We start from the raw sequence: 25,136 nt of genomic DNA on the forward strand, positions 1-25,136 counted from the left end.
TTAATTAATTACATCTGCAATGACCTGATTTCCAAACAAGGTCACCTTCTGAGCTGCTGGGGGTTAGGACTTCAGCATGAAATTTGTTGGGGGACACATAACAAACACATAACAGGTTCTCAGCTTGAGTTCTTCTGTAGAGTCTGGGGTGTGTCTGCTGGGTGACTTGGTTGGTCACTGAGGTTTGCAGAGGGTAGAGATACACCCTCAGTGGTGAGTAGAAGGGTGTGACCATCTTCACCTGTACTGTCCCCCTCTAGGCCCTGGGAAAGCAACTCCCGGTTTGTACACCTGGCTTTTAATGCATTGCCAGGAGTTCTCTGATGTGGAGGCCTTGGCTTGGTGGCAGGAATGATGAGCTTGGGCTGAGCAGGCAGCCTGTGTCACCTCTGCTTGACAGGCCACAGAGATTGGCAGGCCGCCTCAGAGGGAGCTTTGAAGTCTCAAAGTTAAGGACCCAGGGCCAGTCACATCTGTATTTAGCTAATGTTTAAACTTGTAGCTCACCTGTTCTGTTTCTCACCTATACTGTTTCTCCCTCTGCAAACTAAACTATGATGCTCAGGTGTAGTAAGGCTACTTCTGTATGCCAGGAGAGCATAGGTTGTCTTGCGAGGATGTCCATGGTGTAGAGATATGGGAATTATGCTTTTAAAGTGACAAATTTGGAGAGTAAGATGTTTTTGTTTTTCTTTGGTCACATTGAACTACTACCTGATTTAGGTGTTCACAATGATCAAATAACCCACTGGGTTATTTGAGGCCCAGCTCAGGCCTCAACCAGGTCATACCACCCCTCTAGATGGCAAGGGGCTACTTAGCTGTCGGTTGAGAGTCACATCCATGCCTGACCATGTCCCAGCTGGACAGACTGTGGGCAAGTTTCCCCTCTGTAAAAAGGCATAGGTGTAGACCACAGTCATGAAGCCATATAAACCTCCAACTGGGACTAGTTTCATTGAATAAGCACTTGATAAGCAAGACCCTGCAAAACACTGTACATGCTTCATGTAACTCCCACAAGCCCTACGAGGAAGAATATGCCATTATTTCCCCTTTTTACAGAGGGGAAACTTTTGGTTCACACAGATTAAGAAAGTTGGCCACGGCCGGGCGCGGTGGCTCACACCTGTAATCCCAGCACTTTGGGAGGCCAAGGCAGGTGGATCACCTGAGGTTGGGAGTTCGAGAGCAGCCTGACCAACATGGAGAAACCCCATCTCTACTAAACATACAAAATTAGCCAGGCGTGGTGGCGCATGCCTGGAATCCCAGCTACTCAGGAGGCTGAGGCAGGAGAATCACTTGAACCTGGGAGACGGAGGTTGCGGTGAGCCAAGATCGTGCCATTGCACTCCAGCCTGGGCAACAAAAGCAAAACTCTATCTCCAAAAAAAAAAATCTTCTTCCTCGTAGGGCTTGTGGGAGTTACATGAAGCATGTATAGTGTTTCGTAGGGTCTTGCTGGTCAAGTGCTTATTCAATGAAACTAGTCCCAGTTGGAGGTTTATATGGCTTCATGCTGTGGTCCACACATAGGCCTTTTTGTTTTCACACCATGAAATTTACAGAGAAATGGCGATTGTCCAAAGAGCTCATCAATTGCATGCTTATTGACAGCTAAACTAGTTAATTTAGGCCACTAAATGGATCTCCCAGCCATTGGAATATTTACTAAGCTTAAGTTAATCAGACAGTTGCCTACATTTATTTATTGATTTTCTAGACCATGGAGATCCGCCCTGTGTGCTGCTTAATTATAAGCTCTCACACTATTAATCTTTTCTTTATGTAATGATAAAATGTGTTTAATATAATGAGATTAACACTACTGATCCACTTTTGAAAATGTGATCATGATCAAAGTGTCTAATTTTACTTTTTTTTTCTCGGTGCGGGAGAGAGGTGGAATTTGCAACCAATAAATCTTGATTCGATGAAAGCCACATTAAACTCTTTCTAACATGATTTTAACATAACAAAGCTCCATTAATGTTGATGAAAGCAATGGATAACTTATGCTTGACCCAAATTCAGAGCATGGGGCCCAGTGGGATAGAAAATCATAAACTGAGAATAATAACTCCAATCACAGCTACCCCTCCACCACAAATCAAAAAAGATATCTCAGAATTTAAAATGTATTTTCATAATGATTAGTTCTTGTAAGTGGAAAACATCCCTTTGAAGTCGATGATATTCTGCTCTCTAGAAATAATTCTTTTATTGAACTTGACTATATAAATATTCATGGTGCTGCGTGTGTATATTTCATATTGTTTCATTAGTTACTTTTTAGTCATTGGAATAGTAAAAAATGTTCGCTAGGTACTAAAAATACTGTGGAGTTGAAAATAATTTTCATTCTTGGCCACACAGATTAATTTACTCTTGCCAAAAAAAAAATTACCTTTACAGCTAGGCGGTTGACTAAATGATGAATAAGAAGTCTATATTTTAAAAGAATTTTGAAAGTTAGTGTCCTGGATAGAACAGAAATGTTTGTGTTTCAGTCTTGGAATTGTCTGTGTGACTCTAGGCAAGTCCCCAAACCTCTATTAAATAAAATTTACCCCTCCGTTAACGGAAACAAAAGTAAAACCCCCAATTGTTCCTTCAGTGATCACAGTTTCAAAAGGACTGTGCTATTTCTGCATGTTCACAAGATGAGACCCAGAAGATTTTGGAGAAAGTAAGAGGAATGTTTTAAGTTAGTTTTTCTAAAACGTCCTCAGGTTGTATCTAATGGGATCAACAGTATTGGTTGAAAGTCATTAGTTTCTTCTTTTTGTTTTCTGATAGCTGATTTAGATGATGTTACTCTTCAGTCGTGATGCTGTTTAAGAAAACTAAACAAAATCAACTAAAGAAATAGCCCACTTGCTGGTAGCTGTGAATTTCTCATCCAGTAGTTACAGTTACTGCAAGAGTTTAAGTACCTCTTCATGGAGGTATTTTGAGTTCCCCTTTTCCTGTAAGCTAAGCAATTAGTCTCGGTTCTCCATCTAGTATACAAATCATGGCTATTCACCACAAAAGATTGGCCTTTTATGTTCAAATATTGAAATCCCAGGAGATTTTGACATGTATTTTGCTTCAGGAAATCTTTTTGGGTCTACTCTTCGGGCCCCTTCTGTCTCTGTTTACATGTTGCTAAACTTTAAATGGTTGAACAAATGGTAAAGAGTAGAAACTACATTTATCTGATGTTTCCTAAACTTTATGCCTCACTGAAAGCAGCTGAGAAAATGAAAATCCAAGGTGACTAATGCAAATAAAAAGATGGTGACCTCTTTTTGCAAAGATAAGCAAGAAGTAGAGATGTCTCCAAAGATGCCAGCGATAGGCTTATTTGCAGAAAAGTTAATAGCTTAAAATCGTATTTAGAAAGTCATAAGCTGGGAAAACATGTGACAGAGAGAAAAGGAACTCAAAGTATCAGGTTTGCTTGGAGATGTCTTGGGATTGTTGGCGTTTCCTTGAGTCATGTTGCTTCCTCTCCGGAGTTTCCGTGGGTCTTCCGTGTTTTAGATCTATTTCTTTTTTCCTTAGTTCTAGAATTCGTGATAAATTTTACTGGTGTTATGGGCTGAATTGTGTCCCACCCCCAAATTCACATGTTGAAGCCTTAACTCCTAGTACCATAGAATGTGATTCGATTTGGAGATAGTCTTTAAACAGATAGTTGAGCGGGATGTGGTGGCTCATGCCTGTAATCCTAGCACTTTGGGAGGCCAAGGTGAACGGATCACCTGAGGTCAGGAGTTTGAGACCAGCCTGGCCTCAAACCCTGTCTGTACTAAAAATAGTAGCCAGCACGGTGGTGCACACCTGTAATCCCAGCTACTCGGGAGGCTGAGATGGGAGAATTGCTTGAACCCGGGAGGCAGAGGTTGCAGTGAGCCAAGATTGCACCACTGCACTCCAGCCTGGGCAACAGAGTGAGACTGTGTCTAAAAAAAAAAAAAAGAGGTAGTTGAGTTAAAGTGAGGTCCTGTGGGTGGGCCTCGATCCAATCTAATTGGTGTCTTTATAAGAAGAGGAAATTTGGACACGGACACATAGGGAAGACCGCATGAAGACACAAGGAGATGATAAATGGGGTAATAGGAAATAGATTATTAGTTAATTTCACCTGTTACTTTTTAAAGCCACCTACAAGCCTAGGAGAGAGGCTCCAGACGTAACCAGTCCTGCTCACACCTTGATCTCAGACTTGTATCCTTTCAAAATTGTAAGACAGTAAGCCACACAGTCGGTGATACTTTGTTGTGACAGCCCTAGCAAACAAACACACTGGGAGATAGTAATTAAAATGGTTGAAAGAGCAAAATGTATTGAAAAAGAAAAAGGAGTCAAGGCCGGCATCTTATGATCTCCATGTCGTTCTTCCCACCATGTGCACACGTGTGTGCAAACCTGCGCCCACCTCCCACTGAGCTCCCTGTTATCTGCTTATGGATTCCTGGCCCTTCCTGAGAGCCATTATCTGCTGTCAGTGGAAGCAGAGCATTCATTATTCCCAGCCAGTGCAGGGAGGCCAGGAGGATTTATGGAGTCATTGCAGGAACACAAATTCTGCTTTGTACAGACGGACACCATAAACGCACATGAATAAATCAGGGCAGAGTGGAAAAAAGACCTACTTTTCCCTTTCTCATGAACACAGGCATGGGGGCTAGCCCCGATGTTTAGTGTGTGATTTAGTGGGGGAGGAAGGAAGCCTCGTGTTCTCATAGCATAGAGAAGCCATCTGCAGAGGTTTATTGAGGACCTCCTGTGAATGGGTCACTAGCGGGCCTGGGGCTGGGAGGAGCTGTGATAAGGATTCCTGTGTTCAGTTTAGTGTACGACTGTTATTTTAATTTTTTTTTTTCCTGGAGCTGCTGTGTCTCTCCCTCCCCTGGGTTTTTGCACTGCTGCCCCTGCCATGCACTGGCTTGCTTTGATATTTCCCCTTAGCATCATCTGCATCTATTAGCTATATCTTAATTCCACTGTGTTGTTATTATTGTTGGCTCAGTTTTAGCTACAATTAATGGATGGTCACTATGTGCAAGCACTTTCCATTATTTACCTTGGCCACCATTATTATCCCCGGCTTACTGATGAATAGTCGGAGGCATACCGAGGTTAAGTTTTTTGCCTAGGATTTCTCAGTGCTGGGACTCTGACCTCAGCTGGGTTCCAAAAGGCATGATTTAATTCTCATTACAAATGTGGGTGACTGGTAATCTCATATGCACTTTGCAGATGAGAAAACAGAGCATTTCTTCCTTCCTTCATTCTCCAGATTTTGTGGTTGCCGTTGTTGTTTGTTTAATTGTTTTTGAGAGAGAATCTCGCTCTGTCGCCCAGGCTGGAATGCAGTGGCACGATCTCAGCTCACTGCAACCTCTGCCTCCCGGGCTCAGGCTCCTGCCTCAGCCTCCCAAGTAGCTGGGACCACAGATGTGTGCCATCATAAATGGCTAATGTTTGTATTTTTTGTAGAGATGGAGCTTCACCATGTTGCCCAGGCTGGTCTTGAACTCCTGGGCTCAAGCGATCCGCCTACCTCAGCCTCCTAAAGTGCTGGGATTACAGGTGTAAGCCACTGCACCTGGCCCAGACTTTGTGTTTTGAGTGCTAGGTCTCAGGCAGGCAGTCAGCTGGTCCGTGGGCTCAGAGGGTGTGTGGTTTGCCCAAAGCCAGACAGCCAGAACTTCCCTGTCCCTTACAGTTGCCTCTCACCACATGTAGCTGTTGAACACTTGAAATGTGCCTGGTCTGGCCCGGTGTGGTGGCTCACACCTGTAATCCCAGCACTTTGGGAGGCCAAGGTGGGTGGATCACCTGAGGTCAGGAGTTCGAGACCAGCCTGGCCAACATGGTGAAGCTCCGGCTCTACTAAAAATAGAAAAATTAGCCTGGTGTGGTGGCAGGCACCTGTAATCCCAGCTACTTGGGAGGCTGAGGCAGGAGAATTTCTTTCTTGGGAGGCAGAGGTTGAAGTGAGCTGAGATCTCGTCATTGCACTCCAGCCTGGGCAACAAGAGTGAAACTCCATCTCAAAAACAAACAAACAGAAAAAATGTGCTTTGTCCGAACTGAGATGTGCTCCAATTGTAAAACACACACCAGATCTCAAGACGTCATAGTATGAAAAAAAAATGCAAAATATCTCCTTAAGAATTTCAAAATATTGGTCACATGCTGAGATGATAATATTTTAGATAAATGGGGTTATAGGAAATAGAGTGTTAGTTAATTTCACCTGTGTCCTTTTACGTACTGTGGCTACTAGGAAATGTAACATGACTTATGTGGCTTACAGATCTTGGTTGGATGGCACTGGACATGTGGCTGAGGCGAGGATGTCTCCTGTGGATTCTCTTGTGCCATTCTGAGATTGCTCAGAGGTACCGGTTGTTCCCTCTGAACCAAGAGTGATAGTGCCCAGGTGGGGACCATTGATGAGTTGGACATGTGAGAAGCAGGGAGCCAGCACGGGGCATACCTGGAAGATATAAAAAGTAGAGAGGAGTCACAACCACGTGAACATATTTCACACCTCTGATCTGTGCACTTAAAAGTGGTGAGGATGGGCCGGGCGTGCTGGCTCACACCTGTAATCCCAGCACTCTGGGAGGCCGAGGCAGGCGGATCACTTGAGGTCAGGAGTTTGAGACCAGCCTGGCCAACATGGAGAAACCTTGTCTCTACTAAAAATACAAAAATTAGCCAGGCGTGGTGGTGGGCACCTGTAGTCCCAGCTACTAGGGAGGCTGAGGTGGGAGGATCACTTGAACCCGGGAGACGGAGGTTGCAGTGAGCTGAGATCGCGCCACTGCAACTCCAGCCTGGGTGACAGAGCGAGTCTCCATCTCAAAAGAAAAAAAAAATGGTGAGGACAGTAACTTTTATTTAGGTGTTTTTACCGCAATAAAAAAATTTTTTTTAAATGAACAAAAACTTAAGGAGTATGTGTCTCACTATGACTATTGTATAAAAGCATTTAAAGAATGAAAATTTTATTTGACCATAGGCAATTGGGCTAAACAAAAATTGATAGAATGTAAGCTAGTCAAAATAAACTTTGTTCCAAGAAAAAAAAAGTGGAGAGGGAGGTGTGGGTGGGAGTGGGGGCGTGCTGGCAGCAGATCATGAAGGACTTTCAACTTCTCATCGAGGAATCTGGACTTTATTTAGACGATGACCGTAACTGTCTTTAGAAAGAAGACTGTGGGGCCTCAGCGCGTGAAAGTGCTGAAAGCCGGGAGGGTGGGGGAGTGCTAGGGGCCTGTAAGGAGGCTGGCCAGGGCAGGGTGGTGGCCAGGAAGGAACCTTTCGGAGGAGACTTGGCAATCCATCGTAGGGGAGGGGCAAGGGGAAAGGGGATGAACCGGTCGGGCAACAGGTGGGGAGAAGGCAGGCCTCAGCGAGGAGGAACGGTTGTGAATGTGTGACTTTTGAAAGGCAGGGAGGGAGAGTGGGGTGCAGGCTGCCCACCACGTCGGGGTGTCCAGCTGGGATTCTCAGCAAGTTCCCCGTCATGGCTGGCGAGGGGTGGTTGTGCATAACCAGCCCATTGTTTTTTGGATCCCGTGGATCTGTTTGCTTTTAGATTATGTCATTTGAGGCTTCCTCTCTGTTGTTGCGGAGTTACACTCTGGATGATTAAAGATGGGGCAGAGTTGGAAGAGACTGGGAACAGACAGGGCTACTGGGGAATGGGAGTGTCTGAGGATTTAAGACCATTGGGTGTTCAGGGTTTTTTTTGCCAATATATTTATCAGTTGTGTTTCAGGAGTTAAATATTTTGGGGCATACCAAGATGAATCACACACGGTCTCAAAAAACTTGTAAACTGGGCCCTTTTGACACTTTTCCAAACCAAAGAGACAGGATGCTAGCATTACCTGTTTTAACAATACTCATCTCCCCTTAAGATTCCCGAGTTTTGTGCACTGTAAGTGGGCAGCACTCCGGAGGGACTGAGGGTTAATTTTATCCTTGTGGATAATAAATGCATCTTGGACAAAGGAAGAACACATATTTTAACTAAGTAGCAGCCTTCTGATAAGAATTCCAGCAATTGCACAAGCCCCACCGTTGTCTGTACAGCCCAGCAATTCTACCTTGCTATCTCAATATTCTCCGTTTTGCATTCCTCTCTTGCAGGAACCAGTTTCTAGTCTCTCACCAGCAGGATACGTTTCCAGGGTGATCTGCTTACTGAATTGGGGCTGGAGCCCAGGCGCAGAGGATCCCCGGGAAAGTGGCTTGAGAACTCCCCTGGGTGGGCGTGGGAGGGTTTCCCAGCCCTGCGTTGGGAGCTGCCATTGTTTTTTCCTTAGTCTTGCTTTTTGCCTTTGCCCAGCACCTGGTTCTGTTAGCATCGCCAAGATCAGTCCTAATGAGCTTTGTTGTTTAAACTGGGGAAGGAAACTTTTTCCCTCAACAAAAAGGCGAATTTTAGCTCAGCAGCAGGAGGGTGGCCAGTGGGGAGCCAGGGGTCAGAGGCAGTTGAGCCCTGCTACATAAATAGCAGCAATTAATGGGCCCCTGTAAAAGACAGGGATGTGTGTGTTTGCTGTCTAGCATCGTTTCTCTGCAAATCGGAGCAACACTGAAATTAATTATAAAGCCAGCAAAGGCTATTTTCTGCTTTCTGTTAAATAAGTATTGTCCACACAGGAGCACGTTCCACTCGGATGCATTTACCCACATCGTTTCTTTGGAAGATGGCGTGAAACCAATTTATTTTCAAAACTCCCCACTGGGTCATGCTAATCACCACAGTTTTCAGCCCTTTTATGCGGAATTCAGGCTTGGGCTGGAGCCGGGAGCCGGGAGCCCTCAGGCCCTTGTCATTTCCTTCATTGCTCTGGGGGCTTTCCCTTTGCCCACCCTGCCCAAATCATTTCCTCCAGTGCTGTCAACCAGGTTTGAATTTTTATGATGAGATTTACAAAGCAAGCCATTCTGTTATTACTAATAACCATCATAAAGGTTTCATAAAGGTTCTGCTTTGGTTTGCTGGGGCTAGTACAGTAAATAACACAGACCTGGGGGGCCTTCAACAACAGACATTGATGTTGTCTGAGTTCTGCAGGCTGGAAACCTGAGATCAAGGGGTCAGTAGGTTTGGTTTCTCCTGAGGCCTCCTCTCCTTGGCTGACTGAAGGCTGCCCTCCCACTGTGTCTTCGCACAGACATCCTCTGTATTCTCATCCCTGGTGTCTCTCTCTTCGTATCAAGACACCAGTCCTGTTGGATTAGGGCATCACCCTCATGTCCTCATTTAACCTTATTTCCCTGTTTAAAGGCCCTGTTTCCAAATACAGCCATCTTTCTGTATCTGCAGGGATTGGTTTCAGGATATCCTTTTTTTTTTTTTTTTGAGACTGAGTCTCACTCCATCACTCAGGCTGGAGTACAATGGCGCGATCTCGGCTCACCGCAACCTCTGCCTCCCAGGTTCAAGTGATTGTTGTGCCTCAGCCTCCCAAGTAGCTGGGATTACAGGCATGCGCCACCACGCCTGACTAATTTTTGTATTTTTAATAGAAACGGGGTTTTGCCATGTTAGCCAGGCTGGTCTCGAACTCCCAACCTCAGGTGATCTGCCTGCCTCTGCCTCCCAAAGTGCTGGGCAGGATCTCCTTCTGATACCAGAGTCCAAGGATGCTCAAGTTCTTGATAACAAATAGTGTCATATTTGCATATATCCTATACATATCCTCCTGTATATTTTAAATCATCCCCACCTTACTTAGAATACCTAATGCAATGCCTACACATCACTTCATTCACGTGGATTCAACTTAGCACTTGGCATGCGGCAAATTCAAGTTTTGCCTATTGGAACTTTGTGAATTATTTTCCCCAACATTTCTGATCTGAGGTTGGAACCCATGGAAGGTCAACTGTACAATCACATTGGGGCTGGAATTTTGGGGGAGGACACGACTTAGCCCATAACAGATTCTGAAATAGTTAATAGATTCTTCTTCTTCCAACTGCACGTGGATTCATTCATTCAAGAAATACTCATTGAGCGCCGCCTGTGTGCGGGGGCTGTTCTGGATGTGGTAAGCATGTCAGTGAGGGACCATCTCTTCCCTTCTGGGGCTTCTAAGCGTCAGGCAGATTCCATGCTCACTCAGTTCTGTGGGACTTCAGAGGTGATAAGTGCTATGGAACAAATAGCCTCGGGGCACAGGGGTTGTGAGCTCCAGATGATGTGGTTATAAGTGGGTGAGTCAGGGAAGCTTCTCTGAGAGCTGACATTTCGTCAGGATCTTAGAGGTTGAGGGAGTGCTATGTGGCCAAGATCCCCAGGAGGGAACACCCCTGTTTCTGCTGCTGAGGAACAACGAGGAGGCGGGTCAAGCCGAGGGAGCCGTGGGCTGCCTGATGGGAGTGGCGCAGGCATCCTCATGACGTGGATTCTTTCCTTTGGGAGCCACGGGGAGCCTGGGTGTGTTTTCATGGTCCTCACTTTTGGGTAGCCTTCCTGTCCCTCTAGATTCGCTGCTCTGGAGAAGGTGACAGCTCAGACAAGTTTGGGAGAGAGATGGGGTGCCTACCAAGGGGACCACCCAGAATTAGACATTGGCATGTCAGGAATTTTAGGGGGGCGTGTGGGGGCTGGTGGTGAAGAATGAGGGTCCTTCTGTCATGGATCGCCTGCTGTAATGCTGCGCCTGTGAGGTCTCCCCACCACCCCTTCTCCCCATGTCCTGTCCCCAATTCTTAGTCACACTTTTAGGAAGTGAGAAACCATTTTCTGCAGCAGGAAAAGGCTGGACGGCAAGCAGGGACGATAGTCACTGCCTTGGGCTCAGCGCGGATCCTAAATTTCTGTTTCTGTTGGGACTTTCCCAGAGCTGCTCGGTCTCCTCGTACCTACTTTCTAGCATTGGCATTTGGCGTCAGTTGTACGGCTGCTGTCTACCCCAAATTGGAATCTGGAAGAAACACCTGGGATTGGGGTTGGCCGTGGCCATGCATCTGTCCTTCCCCCACCGTTCCTCCCTCCCCATCTTCTTTCCAGGTCCATGCTGGCCCTGTTGTTATCCAGGGCATGCTGATGGAGCTCCTTCCAGGTTCCTGACGCGGTGCTGGACACTGGACACGCCAGGTTCAGTCATTTTTGAAATGACCGAGGGTTTGGTGCCTGGAAGGGGGTTCTGAAAGTGTTCTAGGAAAAGAATGGGCCTGGCCTTGAAAAAGGGTGAGAAGGAGCCAAAAGGGCTGATCCCAGCAGGGGTCTGGAGATGGGAGAATTTCTTGTGGTGACGAAGGAAAACCTATTGTAGCCTAGTGAGTTACAGGGGAAAATAGGGTTAGGAGATTGTGAATGCCTCGGTCGGGGGAGGAGAGGGGTAGAGTTGTAATTAGGCTGGTTGGGGAAGCCTCTCTGAGAAGGGGACATTTCTCTTTTTTTGTTCGAGATAGGGCCTCACTCTGTCTCCCAGGCTGGAGTGCAGTGGTGTGATCACGGCTCACTGCAGCGTCAACCTCCCAGGGTCAAGCCCTTTTCCCACGTCAGCCTCTCAAGGAGCTGGGAACACAGGCCTGCACCACCACAGCTGGCTAAGTTTTTGTATTTGTTTGGTAGAGACGGGGTTTCACTGTGTGGCCCAGACTGGTTTGGAACTCCTGGGCTCAAGCCATCTGCCTGGGGGACATTTCTCACACAGAGGTCTGTCGACTCTGCATCACGATCGCACACAAGCTGAAACGGTGTCCACAGATAGCACTCATATTTGATTTAAATGATTTTAATGTTTGAAGGGAAGGCACTGGTCTGCCTACATTGTAATTGGGAAATCTGAGGGCTGAAGTCGTGGGATTTCCCAAGGCAGTAGTAGAGATGGCCAAGAACTTATACTGGCCTCCTGTAGTGCCCTGGTGGGATTTTCCACACATGCATTCATTTATTCATTGATTCCCTCTTTCCCTTGCTCCCATGAGCCCAGCACTGTCCTAGGGTGCTGGGAGGTCAGACACCATTCCTACTTTCATGGAAAGTACAGTGGAGGGTATCATAGCAGCTAAGCGTGTGTGTGATGGGTGTGACAGCTGGAGAGGCCCGGAGTGACCCCAGCCAGTCTGGATGGGGAAGCAAACTGTAACCTGAGGCCAGTGGCGGGTGGGAATTGGGGTTGACCTGGCCAAGAGTGTGTGGGAGGGAATTCCAGGCTGGGCTGGGTGGGAGTGGGAGACAGGAGGCAGAGAGATTAGCAGGGAGGCCCAACTCTGCCCGAGGGATGATGGTGGGGCTGCAGCAGGGGAGTACAGGAAGGAAGGGGAAGGGGAGGGAAATTGTCCAAGGTGGAGGTGACAGACTCTTGGTGATGAATGAGGTGTGGGAATAGGGGCAGGGTGGCTGGAGGAGGATGTTACAGTAGGGCCACCTGTGGATGGTTACTGTAGGCTGAGCTGGGAGCCCCAGAGAGGAGTTGGGGCCGGGGGAGGTGACAGGCTCGGAGGCCCACAGATTATCCAGGTGGAGATGGCCAGAGGCACGTCAGAGCTCAGGAAGAGGTGTGAGCAGGACAGGCATTGGCACTCATGGGCAGATGGACAGTCATGAGCGTGCTGGAAGTGGAGGGGTGGACGCGTGCCTCCCCAGCAGAGGAAGGCCTGGGATAGAACCTCAGGGAGGCTACTGGGGGAGAAGCAGGAGGTGTGGGACCTGGGAGGGCAAGCAGGGTGTGAGAGGTCAGCAGGGAGAGTAGCCTCCGGGTGCCAGGGACCCTGGTGAGGTAGTCACAGGGAGTAGTGGGAGTGGCAGTCCGGGGCAGGGGCTGTCTGGGCTTCCGTGTCTACCCACTCCTCTGAACCAAACACGCAGAGCCTACTGACCACCACTTATTGAGGACTCTGATGAATGCTCTCAGAGCCAGGGTTTGCAGCTTCAGAGGCTGTGTGCCCAGCTGCTGTTGCTGTGACGTCCCCAGACTGGGGAAGGCAGGAGGAGAGTGGAAGAGGAACTGTAAGACCTGGCCCTAGGCCGGGCGCAGTGGCTCATGCCTGTAATCCCAGCACTTTGGGAGGCCAAGGCGGGCGGATCACCTGTGGTCAGGAGTTCAAGACCAGCCTGACCAACATGGAGAAACCCCGTCTCTACTAAAAATACAAAATTAGCCGGGCATGGTGGCTCATTCCTGTAATCTCAGCTACTCGGGAAGGCTGAGGCAGGAGAATCGCTTGAACCCAGGAGGTGGAGATTGCAGTGAGCTGAGATCTTGCCATTGTACTCCAGCCTGGGCAACAAGAGTGAAACTCTGTCTCAAAAAAAAAAAAAAAAAAAAAAAAAAAAAGACCCGGCCCTAGCCCGCAGTGAATGAATGCTAGCCCTTTGTTCTTACATTTTTACTCTTCTGCAGGGAATCCCGTAGAATTGTAGGATGCTCAGATGGTCTATTAGCCTGCTCAGGCTGCCACAACAAAATACCATGGAGTGGGTGGCTTAAAACAACAGAAATTCATGTTTCACAGTCCTGGAGTCTGGAAGTCTGAGATCAAGGTGCCAGCGGGGTTGGTTTCTCCCAAGGCTCTCCCCTTGGCTTCTAGATGACTGCCTTCTCTCTGTGTCCTCACATGACCTTTCTGTGCAGGCTCAGAGACAGAGAGAGTTCTGGTGTCTCTTCTCCTTCTTATAAGGACATCGGTCCTACTGGATTAGAGCCCCACTCTAATGACCTCATTTAACGTTAATAACCTCTTTAAAGTCTCTCTCTTTAAATACAGTCACGTTGGGGGTTAGGGCTTCAACATACGCAATTCAGTCTATTGCAGATGGCAATCTTGAACCATGACAAAGAATCTGAATTATCCTCCCCTCCCCGACAAATGGTCCTAAAGATCCAGGACTCTTTTATAGTACAGGTTAATTATCTCTTATCTGCTTGGGACCAGAAGTGTTTTAGATTTGGGATTTTTTTTTTTTTTTTTATATTTGCTTAGTATCCAGTGGAGCACCCTTCATTCCAAATACTCCAGTGACCATTTTCTACAGGTGTCGTGTTGATGCTTAACAAGTTTCAGATTTTGGAACATGTTGGATTTTGGGTTTTCAGGTTAGAGATTAGAGATGTTCAACCTGCATACACTTATACCTAGAACCCTGGCAGGTATATTTTAGGTGTTTAATAAATGTTTGTTGAAGAAGGAAAGATTCATTTGAGTTTAGTATACAGTATTCATTAAGAAACCAAAGTGTTCTGGGAAGAAAGCTTTTTTGGGGATAATTTCCATATGAAAAGAAAACTCAGTTGATCAGGGCTTCCCATTCCCTGTGCATTTTGATTATTTAAAACATGGTGTAAAAGTGCTTTGATTAAGGAAAGGCTATGAACTTTCTAAAATACAGCACATTGTATAATGTGTAAAACACATATGTATATTTCTGCGATATTAAAGAGGAGTCTCTTTGATCAGTATATTTTTTTTCTTCCTCTCAGTTGTACAGAAGATCCATTTTACATCTGACTTCTCATTTTGGAGATTGGATACATCAATACTTGATGTGTTTCAGAGTAATGAATTTTAAAGGCAGTGAAGGGTGATACAGGAGGAAGGGATGAATTTAAAATCCTGTTAACTCTGATCCTATGTAGACAGTCTCAGCTAAGTCAATATTTAAAGAAGATGAGAGACTCGCCTGATAGGAAGTCACTGCCTTGGGATTTAAAAGCTACTCTATTCCAGAGAGTTGAAAACCCTGAGATAGAGTTCAGCCTTCTTTTTTAATATGCTGAAGCCACCGGTCAAGGAAATGCATATTGTTTTCCTTAGCTGAACTGAGCTTGAATGCTTATTCACCCTCTCTACGGGTTGATTCATTGAAAGTAAATTGGTAATGATAATAACAGCATCAATTTAAGGAGCACTTCGTATGTGCCAGACATTGTACTAAGTGCTTTCTTTTTTTTTTTTTTTTTTTTTTTTTGAGACGGAGTCTCGCTCTGTCGCCCAGGCTGGAGTGCAGCGGCGCGATCTCAGCTCACTGCAAGCTCCGCCTCCCGGGTTCATGCCATTCTCCTGCCTCAGCCTCCCGAGTAGCTGGGACTACAGGCACCCACCACCATACCCGGCTAATTTTTTGTATTTTTAGTAGAGACGGGGTTTCACCATGTTAGCCAGGATGGTCTCGATCTGCTGGCCTCGTTATCCGCCCGCCTCGGCCTCCCAAAGTGCTGGGATTACAGGTGTGAGCCATTGCGCCCGGCCCTAAGTGCTTTCTTTATGTACATTATCTTAGGGACTATTGGTAGATGGAAGTGTGTGTCATTACCGGGTGCATTACTGGGCCTGGGTGATTTTGAGCATCCCTTATTCTAAGTAAAATTCTACATTGGATTTTTTTCTCCTAATACCTAACAAAGGCCGTCAAGCATGGATTCCTCGGCAGTCAGCAAGTGACCTCTCTCCTGATGGGTTGGGATCCACACACATGGCCTCTTCCTCCTGTCCTGTGTTGGGGAGAGCAGTGCTTCCCTTTCGTGCAGGGCAAACTCTTCCTCCTCTTCCTCTCCTTCCTTAAGGTTTCCTCTCTCTTTCTTTTTTTTTTTTTCTGAGATGGAGTCTTGCTCTGTCACCCAGGCTGGAGTGCAATGGAGCTTTCTTGGCTCACTGCAGGCTCTGCCTCCCAGGTTCAAGTGATTCTCCTGCCTCAGCCTCCCAAGTAGCTGGGACTACAGGCATGCACCACCACGCCCAGATAATTTTTGTATTTTTAGTAGAGATGGGGTTTCACCATGTTGCCCAGGCTGGTCTCAAACTCCTGACCTCAAGTTATCACCAGCCTCAGCCTCCCAAAGTGCTGGGGTGACAGGTGTGAGCCACCACACCCGGCCGGGTTTCCTCTCTTTCTGTCTCTCCTGCATCTTGTATTTCGTTATCTCTGTAGCTGCTGCTAGTGATTTTTTGGCCTTGGGGGATTTCCATTGCTTTCTTATGAGCTTAGCTATTTATTTAAAAGTGGTTTGCTGATTTTATCCATCATCATTGATTGGTGGTGTTTGTTTGGCAGGGAAGGAGGAGGGTGGAGTTACCGTGTTGTGAGAAATGCTTTCTGTTTTTCCTTTTTCTGAGACAGGGTCTCACTCTGTCGCCCAGGCTTGAGTGCAGTGGTGAGATCATAGGTCACTACAGCCTGGAACTCCCAGACTCAAGCGATCCTCTCACCTCAGCCTCCCGAGCAGCTGGGACTACTGGCACGAGCCACCACGCCTGGTTAATTTTTGTGAGATGAGGTTTCGCCATGTTGCACAAGCTGCTATTTCTTAATTAATAAAAGAAGTTGATGAATAATCTCTTTCAACTGTCATATATTGGAACTGTGCTCTTCTCTTTCTACTAATTTTCCACCACTGCAGGACTTTGCTACTAATCTTCTTGGAAATATGGGGGAAATCTTTGGAAAACTGATTCCTTTGTAAAATTTTGAAAAGGCTTGCAACTTGGATCTGTTGATGAGTCTCGGTTTTACTGATCTTTGACAGAAAGTTGTTTTTCTTGTGCTCATGATGACATCCAGGCTTAGATACCCTCCTGAAACTCCCATTCCCAAACATACACACACACACACACACACACACACACACACACACACACACACACACACACACACACACACCCCTGGACTGAATTGGGAGTTCCCTGGCGGCATTGGCTGGGGGCCTCATCCTTAAGTGAATCGGGGAACCTGCAGCGTTGGTAAGAGCCATTGATTGGTGTGGTGCTATCACTCCTGTTGCCTGGAACATGCTAAACTTGCTTATTTTACTGCCATTTGATAGCAAAGATTTAATTTCACTCTGTAAAACTCCCCCGACTCAAGTAGTTTATTTTGCAGCTAGAGATCCATTATTGCATTAGGCTTTACCCAGTTAGAGTCAGTGTTAGCTTTGTTTTGCCTGCAAACCTCTGATTACTGTCAAATTGAATTAGATGTCTCCCTTTGCTGATCACTGATTGACTTTTCCTTAATTTCCCATTCATTTTTTTTCCCCATTTCAGTTGTTATAGATGAAGTCGATTAAATGGTTTTGTGTAATCAAGAACGGCATTCCATTTCAGTATTATCAACTTGTAAGTATGGAGCTTGTAAGTCAGGGGGTGGATGAAAACAAGCTGATAATGAGCTGGTATTTGAAAATTGAGAGGGAGCTTAATAGGAAACCTTCTCCAAGGTGAGGTAGCTTAAGGGCTCAGGGTTTTCATGGAGGGAACCTTGATGGCAGAACTTGGGAATCAAGGTGTCAGATGATGGTAGGGCACACACCAGGGGTGTTAGTTTCCTGCAGCTGCTGTAACAAATGACCACAAACTTGGTGGCTTAAAACAACAGAAAGTGATTCCCTCACAGTCTGGAGGCTGGAAGTCCAAAATCAGTCTCATTGGAGATCAAGGTGTCAGTAGGGCCACGCTTCCTCCAGAGACCTAAGGGGAGACTTGGACTTTGCTTCTTCTCCCAGCCCCTGGTGGCTGCCATGGGCATCTCCTGGGCTTGTGGCCATGTTATTCTCTTGTCTCCGTCTTCACTTTGCTTTCTTCTCTGCTTGTCCATCTGATCCCCTCCGTCTTTTAAAGACATTTTTGATGGCATTTAGGACTCACCCAGTTAATCCAGGACAGCCTCCCCATCTGAAGACCATTAACTTCATCATGTCTGCAGAGTCCCATCCCCCTAAAGATGACATTTTCAGGTTCCAGGGATTAGGATGTGGGCCTATCTTTGGGAGGCCATTTTTCGACTTACCACACTGGGCCTGCTTCACGGAAGGCCTTGGTACGACGGCCCAAGGCCTGGGCTGGACTGAGTGGTATGAGGTTGAGGGGCTGGACTGAGCGGTATGAGGAGGAGGGGCTGGACTGAGCGGTATGAGGAGGAGGGGCTGGACTGAGCGGTATGAGGAGGAGGGGCTGGACTGAGCGGTATGAGGATGAGGGGCTGGACTGAGCGGTATGAGGAGGAGGGGCTGGACTGAGCGGTATGAGGATGAGGGGCTGGACTGAGCGGTATGAGGAGGAGGGGCTGGACTGAGCGGTATGAGGTTGAGGGGCTGGACTGAGCGGTATGAGGAGGAGGGGCTGGAATGAGTGGTATGAGGATGAGGGGCTGGATGGGGTTTCCAGGGGGTATTTCCCCAGCACCATAGATCACCTCATTGCCTTGTCCTTTCACCTTCAGGAAAGGGAGGAGGATGGGCTAGAGAAAGAGCAAGAAGTGAGAGAGTGGGGAGAAATGCTTGGAAATACTGCATTTGCACAGAAGTTGGAAGGTACAGGAAGAACTGCCTAAAGAAAAGCCTAGCATGCACCCTTAAGCCTGGCATGTGGGAACCAACACCAATTGTTAGGATGACTGTAATCGTACGGCTGTGATAATGAGGTCTAGATTCATGGAAAGAGCCACCTGGGCTGTCCTTTCTGTTCAGAGTGGTCTGCAGTGTAGACACTTGCTAACCAATTGTGGAGCTTCATAGGGTCCTATTTTGACATAGCTCATGGAGGTGCAAAACCCTGATATGGGCTGGTTCAGCCCTGGGAGTGGAGCCTGAGAGGGAGTTCGTGAAGACTCTGCTCTCCGTGGGTCTCATGGACGTGCGGGAGCAGAGGGGACGGTGGAGTCAATGAGGAATTGTCAGAGGCTCCTGAGACTACGCTGAAGGGCTAGAGTGAGGAGGAGAGAGAGGCTGCCGGTGAAAGGTGGCGTCATTCCCCACTGCCAAGGAGGGTCTCTCCATGCCTGGAAATGCGTCCCAAAGGGCATCAGATAGATTCCTTATATTTTCAGGGAAGCTATTTGTTCCTTGTGGCTGCTATAACAAATTACCACTCTGGTGGCTTAAAGTAACAAATTGATTCTCTCACAGTTCTGGAGGCCAGAAGTCTTAAAAAGTATTGGCAGGGCCACGCTCCCTCCAGAGACTCTAGGGGAGGATCCTTCCCTGCCTCTTCTGGCTTCCAGTGGCAGCCAACATTCCTTGGCTTGTCGCCCCTCACCCCAATGTCTGCCTCCTTCCTCCTGTGGCTGCCCCCTCTGCTTATTTGTGTGAAAACTCCTTCTTTCTCTATTTTATAAGGACACTTATGAGGACATTTAGGGCCTACCCAGGTAATCTAGGCTAATCTCATCTCAGAATTCTTCACTTAATAACTTCTGCAAAGACCCTTTTTCCAAATAAAGTCACATGATCCAGAGATTAGGCCATTATTCAACCTGGTACAGGCAATTGAAGAACTCAATAAGGTATCTTAACTATAATTGTGTACTCTGTTAAAAAGGCAGATTGTATTACTGCTGGGCCTTTAGACTTGTTTGTTTACAGTACTTGTAAGAATTTCATTGCCAGAGGGTGTAATTTTTTAGATACTGCCACACGGAGTGGAGCAAAGACAATGCCTAATTGTACTTTTCAGCATTCTTTTTTCTCCACCTCCCCAAGAGGATGGATATGAAATATGTGTGTGTCTATGTGTTTTTGGAGGGTAACAGTTAACAAAGCTGTTAGTTTAGCATCCCTTGAACTACTTGGGGCCAGACACAGCCAGAGTGTAACTTTACCTCCTGGGGGCTGAGAGCATCAGCCCGAGCTGACTTGAGGTAGTGCAGGCCCCATGCTGTGAGGTGTGGATGGCAGGGGCTCTTCTAGCCTGTCTGGTCCCCTTGGGGGCTGATTGACTCTTTGTTACTCCCATCTTTGGATTAAGGGCCTGAACCTCCCTATTAAAATGAGACTCTGGGCTGGGCACGGTGGCTCATTCCTATAATCCCCGCACTTGGGGAGGCCAAGGTGGGCGGATCACTTGAGGCCAGGAGTTTGAGACTAGCCTGGCCAACATGGCCAAACCCTGTCTCTACTAAAAATACAAAAATTAGCTGGATGTGGTGGCGGGTGCCTGTAATCCCAGCTACTCAGGAGGCTGAGGCAGGAGAATTGCTTGAACCCGGGAGGCAGAGGTTGCAGGGAGCCGCCAAGATTGTGCCACTGCATTCCAGCCTGGGCCACAGAGCGAGATTCCATCTCAAAAAAAAAAAAAAAAAAAAAAAAAAAAGAAGGAGACACTGCTCTATAGAGGAGATAATACATTATGCTGTTTATAGCCATCTTTGCTTTGGTGATTCCATTGGTTAGTCACTATTAGTCACTTGCTGTTTATGAAGCGCTGTGTGTCGTGAAGGGGGAGTGGTCCCTGCATTAAGCCATGACTTACATCTTACTGCAGATGCTGTTGTATAGGGACGTAGGGAAGGAAGGTGCGGGGGAGTCTCTCTGGTAGGGAGGTTAGCCTCTGAAGGACCTGGGGTTGGGGGCTTGAGTGGGGGAAGGGGGTGGCTGGAGTACCTGGAGAGTGATAGAATGCATGTCCCAGGGAGTGACAAGACATGCCAGGAGGGAGAGCTGGGAGGAGTTGGGACCGGGTGGTGGTGGGGCTGATGGAGAAGATGCTTGGGTGCTCCCATAGGCAGCAGTGAGACCTCAAGAGCTTCTGCAAGAAATCAGAGTTCTAGACCCACTGATTTGGAGGCAGAGTGTAGAATGAATTCAAGAGGCCAGGAGGAGCCTCAAGAAGAGGTGACATCCATGCCTTAGTTCACCCTGGGGGTGGCCAGACTTTTATTGATTCGTTCACTATTTTGTTTAATTTAAAGTTTGCCTTTAGTTTGGACTTTTTCCCTTTTTTGTTTTCTTTTTGTTTTTTAAGGTTTTCTTCAGCTTTATTGAGGTTTAACTGACAGATAACCGCGTGTGCTTATAGTATGCAGGTTATGATAAGTGAGCATGTTGTGAAATGGTTACCATGGTCAAGCTCATGGACATGTCCATTACCTGACAGGGTTATCAGTTTTGTGTGTGTCTTGAGAACATTAAAAAATCTCTCAGCAATTTTCTTTCTTTTTTTTTGAGATGGAGTTTTGTTCTTGTTGCCCAGGCTGGAGTGCAATGGCACAATCTCTGCTCACTGCAACCTCTACCTCCCAGGTTCAAGCGATTCTCCTGCCTCAGCCTCCTGAGTAGCTGGGATTCCAGGCGTCCACCACCACACCCAGCTAATTTTTATATTTTTAGTAGAGACAGGGTTTCGCCATGTTGGCCAGACTGGTCTCGAACCCCTGACCTCAAGTGATCCACCCGCCTTGGCCTCCCAAAGTGCTGGGATTACAGGCACAAGCCACCGTGCCCAGCCTCTTAGCAGTTTTCTTTCTTTTTTTTTGAGACGGAGTTTTGTTCTTGTTGCCCAGTCTGGAGTGCAATGGCACAATCTTGGCTCACTGCAACTTCTACCTCCTGGGTTCAAGCGATTCTCCTGCCTAAGCCTCCCGAGTAGCTGGGATTCCAGGCATCCACCACCACGCCCATCTAATTTTTGTGTTTTTAGTAGAGACAGGGTTTCACCATGTTGGCCGGGCTGGTCTTGAACTCCTGACCTCAAGTAATTCACCCTCCTCGGCCTCCCAAAGTGTTGGGATTACAGGCACGAGCCACCACGCCCGGCCTCTTAGCAGTTTTCAAGTGTGCAATACATTATTGTTAAGCCTGGTCACCATGCTGTACATTGGATCTCAGACTTCTGTTTTTTTCTTTATCATGAACTATGTCCACAAAATAATATTTGAGCCCCTCACTGAAAACATGTATTCATCTGTATTTATTTACTTATTATTTATTTCTGTACTTGTACCTCTGTGTATGGCATATTGCATATAATGCATATTGAGTGCGTTGTGAAACAGGTACAAAATGTAATTACAAAAAAGAGAAATAACAAGAAATGGAAGGTCCACTGACTTCATCCTGCACCCGGAGGCTCCATAGCTGTGTATGAAGGTGTTCCTGGGATGCTCATGTCTCAGTTCATGACAGGGCATCTGGGCACTGGGGCAGTGGTTGGAATGAACCAGGCGGGTGGTGTAGGGGAACAGAGAGGAAGGACAGGTGGCGAGACAGCTGGAAGAAGACATTGACATCATGTGTTGACGTCAGTGGCTGATCACATTAGAGAGGGGAGTGAAGAAAAAAGAAGGAACAGGGCAGCCGGCGTGGTGACTCACGCCTTTGACGCCGGTGCTTTGGGAGGCTGACAAGGAGAATCACTGGAAGCCAGGAGTTCAAGACCAGCCTGGGCCACATGGGGAGATCGGTCTCTACAAAAAGAAAAAAATTAGCCAGCCGTGGTGGTGTGTGCTTATAGTCCCAGCTCCTGGGAGGCTGAGGTGGGAGGATCACTTAAGCCCAGGAGTTTGAGGCTTCAGTGAGCCATGATTGCACCATGTACTCCAGCCTGGGCAACAGAGAGACTCTGTCAAGAAGGAAAGAAAGAGAAAAAGAGAGAGATAGAAGAAGAAAGAAAGGAAGGAAGGAAAGAGGAAGGGGAGGGAGAGAGGGAAGGAGGGAGGAAGGGAGGGAGGAAGGAAGGAAGGAAAGAAGGAAGGAAGGAAGGAAGCGAGGGAGGGAGGGAGGGAGGGAGGGAAGGGAAGGAAAAGGGTGAATACAATGGAGAGGTGACTTCCCCTAAAGGAAAGAGGACTGGGGACAGATGCGGATTTGGGTGGAATAGACAATCTTCCCTTCCCTCTGTTCCTCCATCCTTCCTTCTGTTCTTCCCTCCCTCCCACCGTACCTCTTATGACAAGTTGATTGTAGGGGCAATGGCCCAGGAGGAGCTTCCTGAGGGTAGTAGAAATGTGATCCTGAGTAACAACAAAGGTTGGGTCCTGACAGTGGGGGCCAAGTTTCCCTAGGAGGCAATTCATCAAGGGAAGGAGGTAGACCCTGAGGCTTGAGGGTGTGCACAGGGCAGGGCGGAGCGGGGGCGGGCAAGGCTAGGGGTGCTGCATCTTTGGGCAGTGTCCCCCAACCATGCCTTGGAACTAAGATTGGGGGAAGATTTAGCTGTTTCTGAAGTGGCTGGGGGTCCTCAGACCTGGAGGGAGATGATGGTGAGTCCTGAGGGGGACTGGGACAAGCCCTTTGCTGGAAGAGAAATTGTTATTTCATCTTCCCATCCTGTAGAAAAATAAATTTGACATTAATCCTGCACTGTGCCTTCCAGACAGCCATTCAGGTTTTCTTAGGTAAATTCCATTGTCTTCCTTAATAATTGGACCTTTTGATTTTTCCTAATGTTGTACCTATATGTGTGTGTGTGTGTGTGTTTGTGTGGTATATGCATAAATATAAATGTGTATATATATATTTTCTGTTGATGCTGTTTTAGGTAAGGTGTTTCTCCTCTGCAGAGACATAGCTAGCATTTTTCTTGGGTTCCTGTGAGTAGCCAAGGCATCGCTATTGTCTGTAATGTCTGATAACAGGCATGTTCTTGTTTTCTCCTTAGGTGGCCATAAAAGTCATTGATAAGAAGAGAGCCAAAAAGGACACCTATGTCACCAAAAACCTGCGGCGAGAGGGTCAGATCCAGCAGATGATCCGCCACCCCAATATCACTCAGCTCCTTGATATTTTAGAAACGGAAAACAGCTACTACCTGGTCATGGAGCTGTGCCCTGGGGGCAACCTGATGCACAAGATCTATGAGAAGAAGCGGCTGGAGGAGTCCGAAGCCCGCAGATACATCCGACAGCTCATCTCTGCCGTAGAGCACCTGCACCGGGCCGGGGTGGTCCACAGGTAAGGGCCAGGCCACGCTGGTGATCGCTGACTGTGTGCTCCGTGGGTGGCACTGGGCTGTGGCACCCTCTGAGCCTCTGAGAAAGGCTGAGCAATTGCAGCCTGTTTTACAATTTGTCTATATTTTAATTTTATTTATTTGTTTATTTTTTTGAGACGGAGTTTTGTTCTTGTTGCCCAGGCTGGAGTGCAATGGCGCAGTCATGGCTCACTGCAACCTCCGCCTTGTGGGTTCAAGCGATTTTCCTGCCTCAGCCACCCAAGTAGCTGGGATTACAGGCACCTGCCACAATGCCTGGCTAACTTTGTTGTATTTTTAGTAGAGACGGGGTTTCACCATGTTGGCCAGGCTGGGAATTTTTCTGTATTTTTATTCCATGGAATTGTTTTGTGAATTGGGTTAATGCCAGTGTGAGGGTTAAAAGAGTAGAATCTGAAGCCAGAGTGACTGGGCTTGCAACCTGGCTCTGCCCTGTAACAGTTATGTGACCCTGGGCAAGTTACTTAACCTCTCTGAGCCTTGGTCTCTTAATCTGTAAAATGGGAATAATAATAACACTTCTCTCTCAGTTGGAGTAAAGGTCAATGAGTTAATATATGGGAAGAGCTTGGGACAGTGTTTGTTACCTAGTAGGTATCAGGTAAGTGTTAGCTGCTTTTCTTCTTGTTTGCATAGTCATGAGACCAGTTGTTTAGGTGCCTGAAAGAGCCAGTGTTAAAATGGCATGAGATTCGTGCTAGGGATGATGGTGCTTTCATTGTCTTTGCTTTACACATAGTAGACACTCAATAGCAGTTTTATTCAATGAAATTGAATCACCATTCGAATTTTGAACTTGCCCTTGAAATCAAGGAGTGTTTTCCACAAACCAAACCAGTCTTGCAAATAGTTAGGAAAATCAAGCTTGTTTTTAATATCCTGTTGTTTCCTAGGAAGGGGCTCTACAAAGAAAGTGAATGGAAACAGCGTTCTTGGCAATGTTGCCATTGGTAGTGGGTGCCTGCTTTTAGTACTGTATGAAAATAAAATCAAACAAATTTAAAGAAATAAAAGCTCCCTCTTTTCCTCCAAGGGAGTGTTGGCTTCACCAATAAATGCATGGTTCTTCCTTTGTGGAATTATGATCAATAATTACTCTGGGTTATTGAGAACAACCAGAAATATTTTTTTTTTTTTTTGAGACTGAGTCTCGCTTTGTCGCCCAGGCTGGAGTGCAATGGCGCAATCTTGGCTCACTGCAACCACTTCCCAGGTTCAAGCAATTCTCCTGTGTCACCCACCCTAGTAGCTGGGATTACAGGCATGTGCCACAACGCCCGGCTAATTTTTTATTTTTAGTAGAGATGGGCTTTCTCCATGTTGGTCAGGCTGGTCTTGAACTCCTGACCTCAGGTGATCCGCCCTCCTCGGCCTCCCGAAGTGCTGGGATTACAGGCGTGAGCCACCACGCCCGGCATAGAAATCATTTTTAATTGGTGCTTATTTTAAAAAGCAAG

The 25,136-nt window shown here is 47.0% G+C and overlaps 1 protein-coding gene across 2 annotated transcripts in view, besides 2 other annotated features; it reads left to right on the plus strand.

Moving 5' to 3' along the window:
* Positions 1-25,136, plus strand: part of HUNK (hormonally up-regulated Neu-associated kinase) — a 131,045-nt gene that overhangs the window by 28,102 nt on the left and 77,807 nt on the right. For both annotated transcript variants that reach the window (NM_014586.2, XM_011529537.3), the window contains exon 2: positions 23,347-23,639. In NM_014586.2, coding sequence (NP_055401.1) covers positions 23,347-23,639 — 293 coding nt within the window. The remainder of the gene's footprint in view (positions 1-23,346; positions 23,640-25,136) is intronic.
* Positions 6,908-7,441: an enhancer, noted in NCBI's record as "H3K4me1 hESC enhancer chr21:33280341-33280874 (GRCh37/hg19 assembly coordinates)". NCBI's record gives its function as "activates a minimal SCP1, AML or CMV promoter by ChIP-STARR-seq in naive H9 embryonic stem cells {active_cell/tissue: H9 hESC(naive)}" and the evidence as "EXISTENCE:reporter gene assay evidence [ECO:0000049][PMID:30033119]".
* Positions 11,536-12,346: an enhancer, noted in NCBI's record as "H3K4me1 hESC enhancer chr21:33284969-33285779 (GRCh37/hg19 assembly coordinates)". NCBI's record gives its function as "activates a minimal SCP1, AML or CMV promoter by ChIP-STARR-seq in naive H9 embryonic stem cells {active_cell/tissue: H9 hESC(naive)}" and the evidence as "EXISTENCE:reporter gene assay evidence [ECO:0000049][PMID:30033119]".

This window comes from Homo sapiens, chromosome 21 (assembly GCF_000001405.40).
Source record: "Homo sapiens chromosome 21, GRCh38.p14 Primary Assembly".
Classification (NCBI taxonomy): Eukaryota; Metazoa; Chordata; class Mammalia; order Primates; family Hominidae; genus Homo; species Homo sapiens.